The sequence below is a fragment of the Homo sapiens genome, chromosome 1 (assembly GCF_000001405.40).
Source record: "Homo sapiens chromosome 1, GRCh38.p14 Primary Assembly".
NCBI lineage: Eukaryota > Metazoa > Chordata > Mammalia > Primates > Hominidae > Homo > Homo sapiens.
The window spans coordinates 97,591,088-97,610,326 of record NC_000001.11 but is presented as its reverse complement, the minus strand read 5'-3'; the positions used below and the strand labels follow the sequence as shown (position 1 = coordinate 97,610,326).

At 33.6% G+C, this 19,239-nt stretch overlaps 1 protein-coding gene across 6 annotated transcripts in view; it reads left to right on the top strand.

Moving 5' to 3' along the window:
- Positions 1 to 19,239, top strand: part of DPYD (dihydropyrimidine dehydrogenase) — an 843,317-nt gene that overhangs the window by 310,733 nt on the left and 513,345 nt on the right. For all 6 annotated transcript variants that reach the window (XM_047448077.1, XM_017000507.2, XM_005270562.3 and 3 more), the window contains 2 exons: positions 15,161 to 15,268; positions 16,940 to 17,109. In XM_047448077.1, coding sequence (XP_047304033.1) covers positions 15,161 to 15,268; positions 16,940 to 17,109 — 278 coding nt within the window. The remainder of the gene's footprint in view (positions 1 to 15,160; positions 15,269 to 16,939; positions 17,110 to 19,239) is intronic.

Below are 19,239 nucleotides of genomic sequence, written 5' to 3'. Positions count from 1 at the left end.
ACAGCACTTGCCTTCTGTTCTCCTTAACCGTGCACTTACAAGTTACAAATATTATTGATTCCAGGGGTTATCTGAGGGTATGGGGGGTGGTGTGACTTGACAATATTTTGCTGTTTTTAAGGGATAAGAACTATGAGGCCTGATAACATCTGGGACAGTTATAGTTTAAATTTGTCAAATGAAGATTTATACTTTTTTGAGCTGGCAGAATCCTTCATGTAGAAATAATGAATGAAAATTTGATAGTTGATTTAACATAGGCCAAATGACTTGCAGTGAAAGAAGAAAAATAACACTTTAATTATTACCTCTTTCTCAAAATGAATTGATTTTTGTCATTGTAGATCTGTGCTTTAAACAAATGAGTAGTGCTTAGAAGATACTTTTACAAGACGCCATTTAAGTTTAAGTGGGTGTGGCTTACCTAAAATCATTCCAAAATGTAGTGTAGGTGGGATGATAGGTAAGTAATTACCTACTAATCTTTAAAGCATATTTTTTTCTTTCTTATGAATAAAATAGCTATATTAACATTCAAGCACCACATAGCATTGTATGCCAAATTTTCAGACTAGGTTAAGCTTCCTTTTTCTCTCTCTAACAATAAAGATTAAATGCTGCCCTAAAGTATATTTTATGAAATGATGGAAGAAACGATGTATTTAACAGTTTTTGCTATTTTAAATCTGTCTTTGCCACTTGTCTGTGAGATTATAGAAAGCTTTTTTTACTGCCTTGAACCTCAGTTTGTCATCTGTAAATGAGCATAAGGATACCTAGTCCATAGTGTTTTTGTGGGGCTCAAGTATATAAGAAATATTTTTAAGTAATAAATCACTTTACAAATGCAAAGTTTTAAAATATTTATTATTACTGAGCTTGTATAATGTTGAGCCTATATTTAAGACAGTTAGTGGTGAAAGACCTTCTGAATTAGATTCTCTCTCTTTTTCTTTATCTTCTGTAGAATACATTGACAAAACAGCAAGTTAGGGTTTCAAAAGAGTCTAGATTGTGGCTGGAATGTAAACTGATTGAACTAGACTTCATTGCCGGTAGTGGCCCTTTATACAGCCTGGTCTTAGAGGATGAATCACATGGCTTAGCATTAGAATATGCCTTCTTTAAAAAATATAAACGTATTTACAAATGATTAAAAATGGCCCTAAAACCATATGTCATCATAGAAATTACCTATTCAGAAACTGAAAAGAAAGTATCAAAGCAGACTGCTCAGTTTATTAAACCAAAGGCATTTGGAATGTAATTCATTATTTTACATTGACTTTAAAAATGTGAGATTTTTATTGATTCTGTCAAAATGTATGCTCTCTATACTATCATTAGAGTGGTTCAGATGTTAGTATAATTCGTGAATTGGTATGTATTATATAGTTTACAGTGAACTTAAATAGTTTCTAAACAGCAACTGAGAATTTCTATTTGATCTCCCTAATTAATCCACCATGAACTGTTGCTATAGATTCTTCACCTAGTAGTGGGATAAATCAAAACATGACTGTTTGCCAATTGCACATTAATATACATTTATATGTGTATTATTAAATTTATATTAAATGCATATTAATGTACATTTTAATGTGCTCCAATTAAAATGAAAATAATTTTCATTATTATTAAATTTCTCATATCTGTCTACATGCTTCATAATTCAAGAGCACTTAGGTCAGGTGAGGAAGCACTAAACATTTCATTTCACAGGTGAGGAAACTAAGGCACAGGGAAGTAAGCTAATTTGCCATACATCACAAAGCTAGTAGGTAGGGAAACCGAGAGCAAACCTAGGTGTCGCTACGTTACCCATATATTTCTACTGTCTAGGAGTCTTTATTTGGTTTTGGTTTCAGAGGTCAGAAAATCTGTGGTAGGGTGAACCAGACGTGAATGTACCCTTCTGTGGGATTTCCAAACCCACTAGTAGAAAAACAACACCTCCATTGTTCAGGGCTTTAGTTTTGATGTATTTATTTAAGATTGTAAGAGAATATTTTCTAAATGTAGTTTTTAATCAAACAAATATTACACAAATTAAGTTATGTCCCTTTTATATTATTTACTCAGAATGTAACTGATGTGCAGTTGCCATTACTGACTTAATTTTTACTTCTTGAGAAAGTGCTCCAGTGCGAATATATTCTCCATTGTACTGATTCCTGGGATTTCATGTGATGTATTCTCCTTCTGGCCAATTCATTCTTTTCATACTTGTCCAACATTGCCACTAGAATACTTCCCCATGTGGCTATTATAGAGTTTTCCCCTTTCTTCTTCTGAGTTGGCTCATTTAAATAGATTCTAATAGTTACAATATATGTATTTGTGTTTTGTTGCTTTTGTTCTGTTTAATATTCTCTTTCAATAAATCTTTTTTGTTTATATTATTTCTAAAATTAATTGTAGGCTAGTGGCCATGTATTGTACTGAAAAATCAAGAAAGATGACTCCTAAAATCAAAAGTGTTCTTTTGAACACTGTTTGTGCTTTACAGTGTACATAGTGTTATGCGCTGTATAATGTTTTAAATTTTTGCATCCAGTTTTCTTCTGTGATAACAAGAAAGTTTGAGCTGATACCTCTCTTTTTTTGACTTCCAGCATGCCGCTTTTTCCTACCCCTCCTCCTGACTGATTGGTCCTTCTTCAATATCTCCTTTAGCTTCCTTTTCTCTTTCCTTCCTTAAGGTATGTGTGTTATCTTATGCTCCCCTCTTGGCCTTCTCTTCTGATTATTGTATACGCTCTCCCTGGATTAATGCTCATTAGCATCTCTGACTCCCAGCACCATTTTTTTTGCTAACAATTTTCAAATCTGTTTATCTAGACGGGATTTCCCTCCTGAGCTTCAGATTTTTGTTCCACACTCCATTAAATATGTCCAAAAAGGAACAACACTCTTCCCTTAGAATCTGCCCCTCTTCCACTATACTGAATCACAGTGCAGTAGAAGAAGGACATGTAATAAAAAAAAATTAGAATGGAGCAAGACATGTGCTATGAGAGAAGGACGTATAGGCTATTGAGATACAACAGAAAGCTGAGACTCAGCTTTGACCTTGCCATTTATAACCACAAGGGACCAAATCCTATGAAGTTAATGCCTAAATATATTGAGATTATATTTTTATTCTTCTGCATCCCCACTGTCAGTATCTTAGTATAAGTGCTATTTTTTCTCATTTAAGTTACTGTAATAGGAGAAGAGAATGAAAACATACCTCTAGGGAATCTGGAGGCACAGTTTTGAATGCCATATATAGAATGTCTTTGAAGTATTAAAATTTCATTCAAAATTTGCATCTCATTTTTCAGTCTCTCTACATTTGTCGTAATATGAACACTATAATTTAAGTTACTTATCTTTGAGTGAAATTGTTGCCCCAGGAGGGTAAGCTGTGTTTATACTAAGCTATGGATACCCCCTGCAATGCCATGTTAGTGGAGGTTACTAGTAATCCTGGTTAAGAAGAAGAAGAGAAGTTTTCCTTTCTTATCTGGATTTATGCAGTATCCCCTTATATCCACCTTCTTCCATTCTTATTTTCTGCAAATTATTTCTATATACTACTACCAATTTGTCCTTGCTAATGTACAAAGCTGATTATATCATTTCCTAAAATGTTTCCTCAGTGTAAAATCCAAACATCCTGGTGTGACTTGAATGACCCCTCATAGTTTGGACCCTGCCTATTTGTCAAATTTCGCATTTTGCTTCTTCCTGTCTCCTCCTATCTACTCCCCTCATCATACCCCAGTTGTTGTCAGATTGAACTCATACCCCATCATGCCCTTGTATATGAAGCTTATACTCCCCCTTTTTCTATGACTGGAAACATTAATCTTTTAAGACTCAGCTTTAGAATGTTGTCTGCAGTCCAGGTGAAGTGCCTTTGTAACTGCTCCTGTGGTAACCTATGCATCCTTCTCTCATAGCAGGTGTCTTGCTCTATTCTAAATTTTTTTATTACATGTCCTTCTTCCTACTACCCCAGAAGCTATTTATCTATATATTCCCAGCACCTAATATGGTGTTTAGTACATAGTAGGTACTCATCTATGTATCTTCATCACCTAATATGGTGTTTAGCACGTAGTAGGCATTCAGTAAATATTAATGAATAAGTGGTTAAATTAATACCTAGGATTTGTATTTCCAACTGATTGTCCTCATGATTCTTAAAACATCAAGCTGGTTTCCAGATCCAAAAGTTGAATATGATAGACTATTTTAAAATAATTTTATGCAACAAAAATTTCAGAACTAGATATATAATGATTATACAATGAAACTGCCAAGTTTTGTATGCTTAATCACCAATACTCAAGGAAATTTCAATTGGGACTGAATGTTTTAAAGTGTCCATAGTTTTCATTGTTGTTAAAGTTGTTTTTATGGTGTTTTATATAATAATTGTGTTAAATATCAAGGAAGAAAAAATATCAAGAAAGGTATGCATATGAAAATAATAGATTTTTTAAGCTTTAAGTACATCAAGATCAGTTCATCTGTTAACATTTTCCATATGCCAGTCAGTATGCTAAGCAATTATCATACTATTGAGATATATTATCTCATTTAATATCCCAGCAGAGCAGATTTTATAGTTGAGACTGAGACTTAAAATTTAAATAACTGTGATTATGCAAGGTTAAACAGCTAGTATTTATAGTGAAGTAGTATATTAGTTGGTTCTCACGCTGCTATGAAGAAATACCCAAGACTGGATAATTTATAAAGGATAGAGGTTTAATTGACTCACAGTTTCACATTGCTGGGGAGGCCTCAGGAAACTTACAGTATGGCAGAAGGCAAAGGAGAAGCAAGCACCTTACTCACAGGGTAGCAGGACGGAGTGAGTGCCAGCAGGGGAAATCACAGATGCTTATAAAACCATCAGATCTCATGAGAACTCACTCACTATCATGAGAACAGCATGGGGGAAATCACCCCCATGATTCAGTTACCTCCCACCAGGTCCCTCCCACAACATGTGAGAATTAATGGGGATTACAGAGATTACAATTCAAGATGAGATTTGGGTGGGGATACAGTCAAACCATATCACATATCGATATGAACATAAGGATGTCTGATATTAAAAACTGTTGCTTCCGCTTACACTGGACCCAATATTCTTACAACTTCTTTTATAAACAGATATTCTTTCTTTTATGAACAGGTATGTAGTGATTGTTAGATGTGGAAAATCGCAGTGCATTTGGCATTTTCAGCCATAGTCTGTACACTTGAAAAGACATTTGGATATGGTATAGTGTAATTGATTTAATGCTAGAGTGGGGAAATGTGATTCTTTAATTATTTTTGAGTCACAGGATCCTAGGAGAATGTCATGAAAAGTGTGAGCCCTCTGTACACAATAAAATGCATACTTCTAAAAGGTACTCTGTTTTAATATAGTCTTGGAGTCTGTAAAAAACACAGACAAGGCCCAGAACTCCATTTCTAGATGATTTACCTATTTTATGGATGAAGAAACTGAGGTGCAAAAAGGTCAAACATGTTTCTGGAATTGTTGACCAAGCGCATCCATCAAGAATGCCCTTTAGAAGGTGATTTTCTTGTGGAATTTTCTGAATTCCTAGAAAAGTACTGTGATTTTAAGTCTCAGCAATATGACAGTAATACTAAATATATTCCAAGTATATTTATGCATGAAAATGATTTCATATTTTCTAATATCTAACATATTTCTTGTAAAAATCTATTGAGAACAGTAATTTTTTTGGAAAACTTATGAAATTACAGTAATGACTTAGAGTAAAATAAAATAAATTTGCACAGAAGTTTATCATTTAAAGAAGAAAATGCAGAATTAAAATGAAATAACACTGATCGATGAATATTATCACCAGATAAAATAATTATATGGTAGCACGACAAATTTCTATGTTTGTGAATTACATTTTCTACCTATAAAATTATTTCAGTATGACAGAGCTATTTTATGCTTACTTGTCCACATAACAGTTCTATAAGGAGATGCGGTTTTGTAGCTTCTCATTTTAAAGATGAGGAAACTGAGGCTTAAAGTTTAATTATTTATGCTTGGATTTATAGCTATATAAGTAACAGAGCCAAGAGCTCATTAGAGAGATCTTATCCTTCTGAACTGAGCAGCTCTCCATCGTTTCACATATATGCCTGGAGAAAATCACATAGATGTAGAAAACAAATTCCAGCAGCTAAGAGAGTCACAAGCGCGTTTGCTACATGTTCTTTATTTTAAAGCCTGCCACTTGCTTCCTCAGTCTTGCATTGTTTCACTTTGCAGAGCTCTGAAGGCCAGAGCATACATGAGTAATTCAGAACGATTCTTAGCTTTCATTTCCGTTTTAATCCATGACCCTAACTCATACATTGTGTTTCACCTCATTTTTTTCCAGTACTATAGCAAAGGCTAGTTTACTTCAAAGGAAACTGTTTAAATGCCATTATCAAGATGCATGATATGTTAACAATTATTACATAAAGTTTTTCAAATACAGAATGTTTCAGTCTCACAATATGATTGTATAATTTGCTAGAACAATTACTGATAAAGGGGTTATCAGTGCCTGTGTTTAAGAATTTACTTGAGTAAAAAATGTAAAAGTACAATTTTTAAAAACGCCTTCCAGAAAGTAACTAATACAATACAATGAATGTGAGTTACATTTACTGGTGATTAACACTTTAGTAATACTTTTGATATTACATTTTTAAAGGGGTCTTCTTCCTTCTACGGAATGTGTGTTTATGGTGGCAGCTTTAATGCTGTTTCCTACTGTGCAGTTCAATAGAGTATGTTTTTAGGTGGTTGGTTGAGGGTTTTTTTCCGTTATGTATGTCGATGGAGATAAGTGTTTTAATTACTTTTTTAATGTCTGTGCTTTTGTATTTTTCTCCTCTCTTTCCTTTTATTTCCTGCTGTTGAGATTACTGCCTCATCTCCACAGCAGGTGGCTGTTGCAAATTTGTTTTCTTTGTAAGCCTGGAAGATTTATTTTGTAATATAACTGTTCCTTTTTAGTATTTTATTATTAATGATTTCTTTACTTTGGGATATAGTGTACTTACACAGTCCTAAACAGTAATTTCCTAACACTATCTAAGAACTCCAATCATTAAGAAAAAAAATCTTTGCCTGAGGCGTATTGTTTGAGATTTTTGCTTACCCTTACTTCACAATGCGGGGATTAAAATTTAAGGAAATTGTTTTATAGCAAAAGCCAAATGAGAAAAAGAAACAGAGAAAATAGAAGGGAGGGAAATAAAGAAAAGGAGAAGAGAAAAGGCTCAAGAGACAAAGTATACTTTAATAAATAATACCATAAAGCAGAGTAATGAGGATAAATTTATGGCTGAAATATGAAATTACATTAACATCTTTTCTAGAAATGTTTCAACTAAACCAAATGCTTATATTAAAGTATAATTTCAATTATTGCAATAACTTCTACTAATTATAAGCAAATTGCAATATTATAAAATAATAATGAAGAAAAAGGTACTTCTTTTTTTTGTCCAAAGGGTTTGTTGTTCTCATTGTGTCATAATGTCCTATAGATAGAAGAAAAGATGCAACAGATCCTAATATAGACATGATCTGTTATAAAAGTACAATATACTCAAGGATATTTTATCCATCTCCATAAAGAAAGCCATAATTTTGTTAAACAAAATAAAATCTATGTATTTTTTCCAAATGTATAAAGGAAGTAAAAAGTATGAGACCAAAAATGCATGGTGAACCCATATTCTCATTGTGTTTGTATTAAATCACTGGACATTTATTACAGATAAAAAATCCTCTATAAGAATTTCAACCACTCAAATTCAATTCATTTCATATGTGTACTTGTACTTCTTAATACATTCATTGCTTTGTTATAAAGAATATGTTCACATCCTTTCTCACCTGTAGATATTCTAAATTGAAGTCTGATATAAGTTCTAACATGAAGTTAGGTGAAGTAATTACATTGGCACGATAGAATTTGTGTGTTTTCTACATGAAGTATAGAAGCCAATTGAAATACTATAACTTCATAAAAATTATTTGATTATTTTATTCTCTTTTCTAGTGCTTTTTAAAATTGTACTGTTTTATACATTAAATACAAAGAGAAATTCAGCATGTATCAGATTTTCAAAATGATATAATAATACTCAGTAATCCACTTGGTTCTGGACTTATTGTTATGTGCTGGTGTACAAAAAGAATCTTGTGTAATGGAAAAAAATACTATTTAAATGGTGTCTCCATTCATAACATTTTTAAAAATGTTCTTGTTATTCTCTAACCAATTGTGTGATACACACAATTAATGTGTGTGGTCACATTTAGAGAAAGAGTATAGACAGCAGTTATATGAAACAGATGTTTAATGGGGATTTCAAAAATCAATGAAATGAATATTATTGTGATGCATGGTGATCTAATTTCATATGTGTTATATTGAATCACTCCATTTTTTTCTGCATTCTGTCTGAACACTCAGTACTAAACGCATTTACAGCAGCACATCGGGAAGAAAATGGGGAGTTTTATTGAGAAAAGAACCACAATAGGCCATCATTGATCTATTCTCTTTCTCATCAATATATAGATCCTAGAATGATAACCCATATGGCACTATTGTCCCTTAGAAGTAAGACATAAATCCTTTGAGTGATCTTTAAGTGACAGATGAAACACTTTATAATCCATTGTGGAACTGCGACATGCTTAGTTAGACACTTGAAAGGAATATTTTACTTCCATATTGTAATCTCAACTGCTTGGGCTTGAATCAGGAATAGCTTATCTTCTCTAATACATATATAAACATATATATACATAGATGCATATATTTATGATTTTCTACCTACTTTTACACATCCTGTATACAGCCACCCAAATGGCTTATGATTAGTTTGCAATATCTTCTTTATTTGAAAGTGTTTATTATGAATCTCTTTATCATGTAAGCCTTTTTCCCCCATAGTTTTTATATTTTACCAAAGACAGTAATAATGACTTACATTTTAATGTTATTTTAGATTTACCAGCATGCTTTATGTGCACTTTTCTACCTAATTTTCCAAAGAACCCTGTATAGTAAGCAGGGTTGTCTGCATTCTAAAATCAAGGAGTTTGAAAGCCACAGGATTAAGCAATTTTATTCAATTACAGTTAGAAAATGGAAATAATGAGATTAGAACCCAGTTCTTTAGACCCTAGGTCAATGCTGTCTGAGACATGATTTTGTTCTTAATGCTCCAATTTGAATGACACTTTGAGCAGGAGTGGACTTTATCTTGCTGTTAATACTTTCCTTGTTTTGATGCACATGTAGCTGGAGTTCATTGTAGTCTATAGAATGAATGAAGTTAGAATAATACTCTTATGTGGCTACATCCTTTCATTTTAGCCAAAGATGCTAAGTTTCGTGGACTGTGATACTACCTATCCAATACTGACCACTTAAATATGTAATAATATAAACTGTGTATATCATGGATTAGATGATCATTTAACTTATATGTACTCAAACGTATCATTTCATTAAGTCAAACAAAGGCTTTAAGGAAGCAAAGAAAATTAAAGGAAACATTTATTTCACATCTGTGCAAAGAGCTTTATATACCTGTTTTTCGTGTTAATTCTCCCAACAGTCCTGTGATGAGGAAGCTGTTGCCCAGAAAGTATAATTTATTTGGCCAAGGTCATAATAGCTAGTAAGTGCTAGAACTAGAATTTTAATGCAGGAAGTCTGACTTCAGAGTTTTCAGTCCTATCCAGTATACTGTTTACAAATAATTATACAAATAGGTCAGTCGGCCTTAAGATATTTTATAAGATTTAATAAACAAAAATAAAGACAAAAGTTGTTACATGGATTTTTCTTTTACTAAGACAGAGGGGGAAGTTAGCCTGGTTTATTCCATAAATACATGTTTAATCTGTATATTTTAATACTGTCCCTAATGCAGCACCATTTCCCAAGCCAGCATTAGAAAATAAGGACTGAGTAACATAACATGTGAGATCTCACATACAAAAGTACTTTGGAAGGTGAAAAACTTACGGTATTTGCCATCAGCTACATTTTGCTGATCTCATCCAGAAAACTTGAGAGTAGTGACAATCAGTGTTGTTTTATTTGTCTACCAAAGTCTTATTGAAAAAGCACCTGTGTGAAATAATAAGAATTGGTGTTCCTGTAGAGTTCAGTATACTAGAGCATTGTCCATTTGTTTTTGTTTTTGTTTTTGTTTTTTTGAGACAGAGTCTCACTCTGTCACCCAGCCTGGAGTGCAGTGGTGCGATCTCAGCTCACTGCAACCTCTGCCTCCCAGGTGCAGCGATTCTTGTGCCTCAGCCTCTGGAATAGCTGGGATTACAGGCATGAGCCAGCACGCCCGGCTAATTTTTTTTTTTTTTTTTTTTTTTTTTTTTTTTTTTTGTGGAGATGGGTTTTTGTCATGTTGGTCAGGCTGATCTCGAATTCCTGACCTCAAGTGATCCACCCACCTTGGCCTCACAAAGTGCTGGGATTACAGGCAGGAGCCACCGTGACTGGCCAGCATCACCCATTTCTGTGAGCCACAGCCTTTGGCCAGGGACCTGAGGTAGTTTCTCTGTGGTCTGTGCTATCTTCTTCACACCTGGGATTTGTGAGTCTATCTCCAAAGATGACTGTCTTTCTCATGATGGCTTAGCTGTCATTCAGATGAATCCTTTCAAGGACAGGAAGCATCACACAAATGCTTGCATCATTCAGTTAACACTAAACAAGTGGCTTGGTGAAGTAACACAAGCAAACATTATAGAATCTGAGTAATTCTTAAACATGCCCTACCATAGCTATGAAAGCAAAGCCTTAAAAGCTTTTTTTTTTCTCTTATTACTTCCTAGATTTTAATATGTAACAGAACATCTAATATCTTGTTCATGTTAACTGAAGTTGTGCAAAACTTTATGTGAGCACAAGGAAAGAATTTACTATATATACTGCTGTTATTTATTCTGTAGTTGTTCCAGAGGGAGGTGCTTTGGCAACAATGCAAGGATACACATTTCAAAGAATATCAAATAGTGAAAAATAACCAGGATATACCCAAGAGGAATTCACTTAAGAAGGAAAACATTTCAGAAAGGGATTGTACTGGAGAAAATAATCACAAAACAAAAATGCTGACAAGAGAAGCAGCCAGTCCTTTCTCTGTCACTAGATTGGAACCTGGCTGCAGACACATCCTGTGAGGTACGCATATCTGCAGCCTTGTAGAGAAACTTAATACATACATGTTGAATGATTACTTTAGATAGGACTGGTTATGTAGCTTCACATTATAACCTGGCCTAGTTATAACCTTAAACATGAAAAAGGCAGCCATTTTGAACTCATAACATAGACTCTACAACCAGTGTCCACGTTAGAAATTGGCGCTGCTTCTTACATGTTCTGTGATCCTTCAGCGAGTTACTTAATCCCTATATGCCTCAATTTCCTCATATTTAAAATGTGGATAATAACATCAGTTGCCTCATACAATTATTTTGAGAATTAAAATGAGTTATATAATAATCACCTGGGGGCCAGGCATTTAGAGTAGTGTCTGTAGTCAATAAAAGTTAATTTAAATTTTCTGTAACATAAGCAGGATCCTTCCTTCCTTCCTTCGTTCCTCCCTCCCTCCCTCCTTCCCTCCCTCCCTCCCTTCTTTTTCAGAGAACGTGAAAATCACCATTTAAAAATAATTCTTAAGGAGGTGTTCCTTTGTATAAATGCATGCTAAAACACCAAAAACTTCAATAACTATTCTAAAGAAACAAACTATCCGGCCTCCTTGAAAGACAAAGACTATACATATCTACTACGCTGAACTGTTTTGTTTGTCAAATCTTTGTCAATTCATCTTTATTCATAAACTCTCTTTTTCACACTGAAAGGTGAATTAAAAAGTCATTTCAGTGTCATTTTGAAATCATCCTAGTATAGACACATACCTTATTTATTAATATGCCACCTACTCTCAGAGAAGTCTTCCTTTGATAGATGACTATTTGCAAGTTTCATTTTCTTTCATATTTCACTTAAGGTTGCCTCATTTTTCTTTCTTTGTGGAACTTGATTTACATATGCTAAGGTTTAATACTTTATTTTTATTTAAGCTTTTATTCTTTCCTTGCCATGCAATATGAAGTATGAAATAATTGATAAATTATAGAATAAACCTATCTTAATATTAATAGCTAATGTTTAATGAGTATTCACGATGTGCCAGCTCTCAATTATATATATGGTTTATCCATATGGATATATTTTTAATATTTTCATAATTTTGTAATTTTTTTAACATTTTTAAAAAATCTCACATCCATGAGAGAAGTAGAATTTTTATCTCTGTTTTTAGAAATGAAGTAGTGGAAAATCAATTTCAGGGTTCTCCAGAAAAACATAATTAGTAGGATGGACAGATGGGTAGATAGAGATGACTTATTTTAGGGAATTGGGCTATTTAATTGTGGGAGCTGGTAAGTCCAACTCCTTAGCGCAGGACAGGAGACTGGAACTCCCAAGTAGGAGCTGATTGTGCAGACTTAAGACAGAATTTCTCCTTCCTCAGGGAAACCACAATTTTGTTCTTAAGGCCTTTTGATTAATTGATTGGATAGGGCCCACCCACATTATTGAGGCAATCTCCTTAAAGTCAAGTGGTTGTAGATATTAATCACATCAACAAAAGGCTTTCCCAGCAATACCTACCTTAGTGTTTGATTGACTAACGGGTGTTATAGCCTAGCCAAATTGACATCTAACCCTAACCTTCACAGGATTCACAGGAACTTATACAATACCACAGAACTGGTAAATGAGAGAGGAAGGACTCATACCAAAGTCTGTCTAGTGACAAAATCCCTGCTTCTGATCATCCCACAGCACTATGATTAGCATAGACTATCAAAGTATCCACATGGAGACCTTCAGATGCACTGTCCCTGGCCAGAAGGGATGACCTGTCACCCAGGTAGAGGAGGAGGGCTCCGTGGACCTTGAGGCCCTATGTGTGACCTGGGGTGTGGCTAAATAAACTGGAAAGAAAAGCTAATTATATGTAGCATATGTATATGTTGGTTTGAATAGTCAAATGTAGACCTAACTTCAGTCTTCTTTTAACAGGTTTCAGAAGAAATCATTTTGTCATTAGAGAGCCTTCAAGAACATATTCAGCTATTTTTACCAACCCCATCCCTCCAACCCAGGTTTTCTAAAAGAATCACATAAACGGCCACCCATTTATATAATTGTTTCTGTTACTAATATACCTTTTTATGTCATAAAAGGGGGAAACAGTCTTATCCCCATTTCCTTTACAGAGAAGCTGAGGCAAAGGCAGGTGAGGTGGCTCCCCTAACTATGCTACTACATAATGGAAATCATTTTGAAAGCAAAAGTTCTTTTAAAATCATTTATGAGCAAATGCTATGGAAAAGGAGATTCAGGGGATGCTGGATGGGGAAGAAAAATGTTTGGTTTAATCTGAAGAGACAATGGTGGTTTATTGCTGATTACAGGCAACCCACAGAAACCTTCAGCTTTCAGATCAGATATGGCACCCACCTTATCTCATATGACAAAAGTCATCCTTCGGCTATGCTTATTACTCTGTATCTACCAGCAAATGTCCATTGCCCTTCATTTCATTGTAAAATAAACTCCTGCCTCTCTAGAATGACCCATTGGTAGAATGAGTCTTAGTAATAAAATAAAACTACATGTTTTCCCCTGCATTTATGGAATTGAGATGAATTATTTCTCTACTTGCCTTGGATGGGGTGACTGCTATAAGATTTTCTTCATTTACACTTTGGAAAAAATTTAGTCTGCCATTTATTTTCCTTTCAAAGTTTTGGTAAGAATTTACTAATTTATAGTTGATATATGTACAATGTAGAAAATTTGGAAAATAAGGAAATAATAAAAATTGGAATATCCTTAATACCACCACTCTAAATGATCTCTGTTTAGATTACATGGTTTATATTAATACATTTTTTTACAAAATTTGAATTATACTATACAGAGTTTTGAATCCTGCAGGTTCATTTAAGACTGTATTTTGATTACAATCTTATACCATATTTCTCAAATATTCGTTCTGTTGTCTTTTTCTTTTATACGGTAAAACTAATTTCTTCATTTACCTGACATTCTGGTACTCTCTCATCTTATTTTCCTCTTTCTGTATTAATCATTTTTGTGCATTAAACCTTTATTTGCATGTGTCAGTATTTTCTTAAGATAGATTTAAGACTATTTTCTAGATATTGAACACCAATGTATATTTCCACTGAAAGAGTATGACAAGTTCCATGTCTACCCTTGGTGTATAGTTTAATTTTCTTAAATATTTTTCTTTTTATAGAGAAGTTACAATTTTATTCTTTTAATTTGCAGTTTAATGACTTAATGGAGTTAATATTTTTAGTGCTTATAGGTGATTTATATTTTTTCTTCTCCCAATTTTTATTATTCTTTATGTTTCCATTGAAAAGCTAATATGTTCCTTACTGATTTGGAGAATTTATACAGTAAAGACATTTAATTATTAAAACATCTTCTTGGTTAATAATTTTCGTTTTAATTCATTTATATTTTTTAAATTTAGCAGTGGTTGAATTATTGTGGCAAAATACATTGTTTTTTCCTTTAATTTTTTTCTTTCATTAAAAAAGAAATGATTTTACTTATTCAGGAATTAGATAAATATGTACCCATTTTTAACTTTTTTTATATTTAGTACTTTAATGTAGCTGAAACTGACTTATTTATGATATGAGGCAAGAATATAACCTGATTTTCCCTGTAATGTTATATATGTTTATGTGTGTATATACATATGTTTCCATATATTTATAGGTATACATTAATGTGTGATTTACGATGTGTACTTGGTTATATATTAAAGATATACATAATATACTCTGAGATCCGTTAGACTGTATTATGTACATTTTATATTGATTTGCTTACAGATGTTTTCCTCTAAGAATGACATTATTTCAAAGATTAAAGTTTTCTTTTTTGTTTTAATATCTAATAGGAAAAGCCCCTCCTCCTGCTAATGATATTTTATAAATTTGATTACTTAGGTTTGCCAGAACCCAATAAAGATGCCATCTTCCAAGGCCTGACGCAGGACCAGGGGTTTTATACATCCAAAGACTTTTTGCCACTTGTAGCCAAAGGCAGTAAAGCAGGTATAACATATTGTCTTTTATGCTTAATAGTGAGTATGCTATTTTATTTATGATAAATTAATATCAAAATCAAGCTCAGCAGCACATTGTTCAGCTCTCACACCCAACCTTGCCTAAGACCCAAATGTAAAATTAAAAAAAAAAAGGCCGGGTATAACAGTTTGCCAGAATCATCTGTTTGTTCATTCTTCCAATAAAGTATCATCGTAAGGAATTTTCACTGTAATATATATGTCTAAACTACATCATGAAAAATTGCTTCAAGGTAAGCAAGTCCTTAACAAACATTGGAAGATGTTTTTCAAAGAAATGGCATGAATCGTCACATATCTTATATGATTTGTATCTACACAGGCAGAAAGATTGACTGTCTTCTCTTAAACAGTAATTTTATGATGTTAAAATAAAATACTTTGATAGACACCCTATCACTTTATACACCCCAAGAAGAACCACCTGAATGAAGGTTGTACCTTGGTTTGGCCTGACCAGAGTCATTGTCTTTGGGGAAAATTGTAATATTTTATCCAAAGTCAGATAATCTAAATCCTTCAAATGTATATTTTTAAAGAGGTCTGAGCCACAGCTATTCCTACATTAATTACATGTAGAAATGATACAAACTTTTATGCTTCTCCCAGGACTTAAAACAGTAAGAAACTTTCTATATTAAATTATTCTTCAGAAGTTTACAGCTAAAGATGCATACCCTCTCCACCTTCTGCCTCTCAGTAGAACTGGATGTTTGTATGTCTGAAACCCTTTCTGAGGAAGGTCATAGTGCACCTAGCTTGTATTTGAAAATTACAGAGTGTCCCAAATACAAAATCTTCCAAGCAAAATGATTACACTTATTGAAATTATAGGTTTATTCTATTCTTGGTACCATTTAAAAAATTATAGTAATTGATCTTATAAACAGTTTTATTTAATCTTATTATACACTGCTACCTAACACATAAGGAATACTTGCATTTTACTTTTTTTACAAGGATCTTCATATGGACAGCAAATCTTAATAGAGATGACCTTGAGAAATGGATGCTTAGAAAGTCATATTTCTTTTACTGCCCAGTTTCACAAACAAAACCAGAGGAAAGCAGTGAAAGGGAGAAAGATTTATTTGAACTATTTCAAGAAAATAGTTCTCAGAAATTCTTCAGTTACATAAAGGACACTTATTCAGCACGTTAATATTCAAAGTTAACAAAATATATAACAGAGGTATGTGTTAGAAATTATATAAGGTAATACATAAAAAAGTATTATAATGAAATATTGCAAACCGTTAACACAGATCATAAGGATCACTTTTTTCTTCTAGCAAAAGGAAAATTATGCTGAGTTAAAGATAGATAGCACAATTTTGATGAAGAGAGTTTTAATTGATTGATTCCAGTCTGTTATGACCTAAACTTCTCAAAATGTGTTGTAGGAATCCTAGAAGAAAAAAGAAACTAAAGATACTGACTATGAAATTACATATATGAGCATATTTTTAAAATGGGAATAAAACTGTCTTTCAATGAAGCAGAATAATTTGATAGTGACACTTCATCCTGGAAAACTGCAAGATGCAATTTTACACTGCTTTGAGTACAAGTATCTTTTGAGCTGTCATGCAGAAATGGTTTCTCTACTTGAAAATGGGGTTTTCCTTTCATCATTCAGGAATGTGCGCCTGTCACTCTCCATTGCCATCGATACGGGGAGTCGTGATTGTACTTGGAGCTGGAGACACTGCCTTTGACTGTGCAACATCTGCTCTACGTTGTGGAGCTCGCCGTGTGTTCATCGTCTTCAGAAAAGGCTTTGTTAATATAAGAGCTGTCCCTGAGGAGGTAAAATGGAACCATCAGAAAATATGGAGTTGTACTCCAACAGATTTTAGGAGATGAAACTGTTAATGTTTAAATCGCTAGAATGTTGAAATTGTCAAATTCAAGTTTAAAAATTTCAGGGCTACACATAATTGTTTCTTTTCTAATTCAGACATTCCAAGTAAAAGAAAATTTGTAATACTGATTTGGGTAAAATGAGAAATTTAATCTTTGTCAATACTCAAGGGCTTCTTGTTAGTGTTAATATGCTTGAAATGTATTCTATGTAACTAGTAACAATGTAAAGTGCTAAGTCTTCCATATCCTGAATAGTAGGTACTCTTCACAAAATGTATGCATATTAGAAGAATGTGGTAATAAGACACATACGGAATTTTCCGTAAGCCAATTTACAGACTGCATTCTAAGATGTATACCTTGGTCATACTTTCAGTCAGTTCATTATTTGTGAAGCAAATAGAAAGAAAAGGGTGTCATGTATATTTTTAAAGTGCTCTAATATAAGCACTACTCAAAATTAGTAGTTAGTTAGCATACTAAAAATAACGTTTGGCTGTGCGCGGTGGCTCACGCCTGTAATCCCAGCACTTTGGGAGGCTGAGGCCGGCGGATCACAAGGTCAGGAGATCAAGACCATCCTGACTAACACGGTGAAACCCCGTCTCTACTAAAAATACAAAAAAATTAGCCGGGCGTGGTGGTGGGCGCCTGTAATCCCAGCTACTCAGGAGGCTGAGGCAGGAGAATGGCGTGAACCCGGGAGGCGGAGCTTGCAGTGAGCCCAGATCGTGCCACTGCACTCCAGCCTGGGTGACAGAGAGAGACTCTGTCTCAAAAAAATAGTAATAATAACATGTTTAAAATCATTTCATTCTTACCAGTGACTGGTGAGTAGTCTTGGGTGAGGTATCGGCTATTTACATGTACTACACACTTCTCAAATTTTAATGCTATTAGAGAAATATAATACCTTATAAAGAATATTAGTTCTGAGAACAAGAACCAAATGTATTTATAGAAAGATAAATTACTCATTTAAATCAAATCAGTATTATGAACTTGACTTGCTTCGGAATGCCTGAATGTGTTTGGAGTCTCTATACTAGGCAAGAATTATAGCTGTAGTCAATAGGTAATTTGTCATATGTAGATTACCCACATTACAAATTAATCTTACCAAAATATCAGGGTCACCATTGGTTCATGGCTGAGTTTCAAATTCCACGTTTATTATCTGGACTTTTCTCCATCCAATCTACCCTTTTTAGACTTTTTTATAAAATCCAAGGTAGTTTTTATGATCATAGGTTTCTTTTTTTTTTTTCCTGGGATACAGTCTTAGGCAATAATTAGTGTAATCATGGTTTTTTTTTACACATAGAAAGAAACATTTTGATCTTTGTATTCCTGTGCATAGCACAGGACCTGGCACATAGTTTGTACTTGAGAAATAGGTTTTGAACTAAACATTTTAAATATTAAGTCTTATCCTTCTGATTCCAATGTTAGAAAAGTTTCATTACCAAAGGTGACTTCTTGAGGGTTGGAAGGGGAAGATGACACTGATTGGCAATATCAATTTACTTCACATTTTATATCATAGTCATCTTCCATTTGCAAGGGTCACTGGAAATGAATGGTGGTTATTTCTTCTGTCTTAGGTAGAACTAAGACACAAACAAACTGAGACCAGATAAGAAGAGGGTAGCGGTATGAATTTATTTATTCATTCATTCATTCATTTATTAAAACTACATTTACTGAGCATCTATTATGTACCAGGTATTGTTCTGGGCAACTTAGATACAACAGTCAGCAAACCAGTTAGAATTTCATGCCCTCATGGAATTTGTACCTAGTGACAGAAGATACCCAATAATTAAACAAATAAACTGTCACATAAATAATATATTGAAAAGTAATTAGAACTGTGGAGAAAAATTAATATAGGAGTATAATGAGTGTGTGAGAGATGAGGATAATGGTGGAAGAGAAGGCAGGGTTTGCCATTTTAAACAGGGTGGCCCTGGAAGACCTCTCCGATGAGATGATTTTTGAACAAAGAGATGAGGAAGTTGAGGGAAAGTAGGCATCCAGGAGATAAACATTCCATGGCAAGCTAAATGCCTT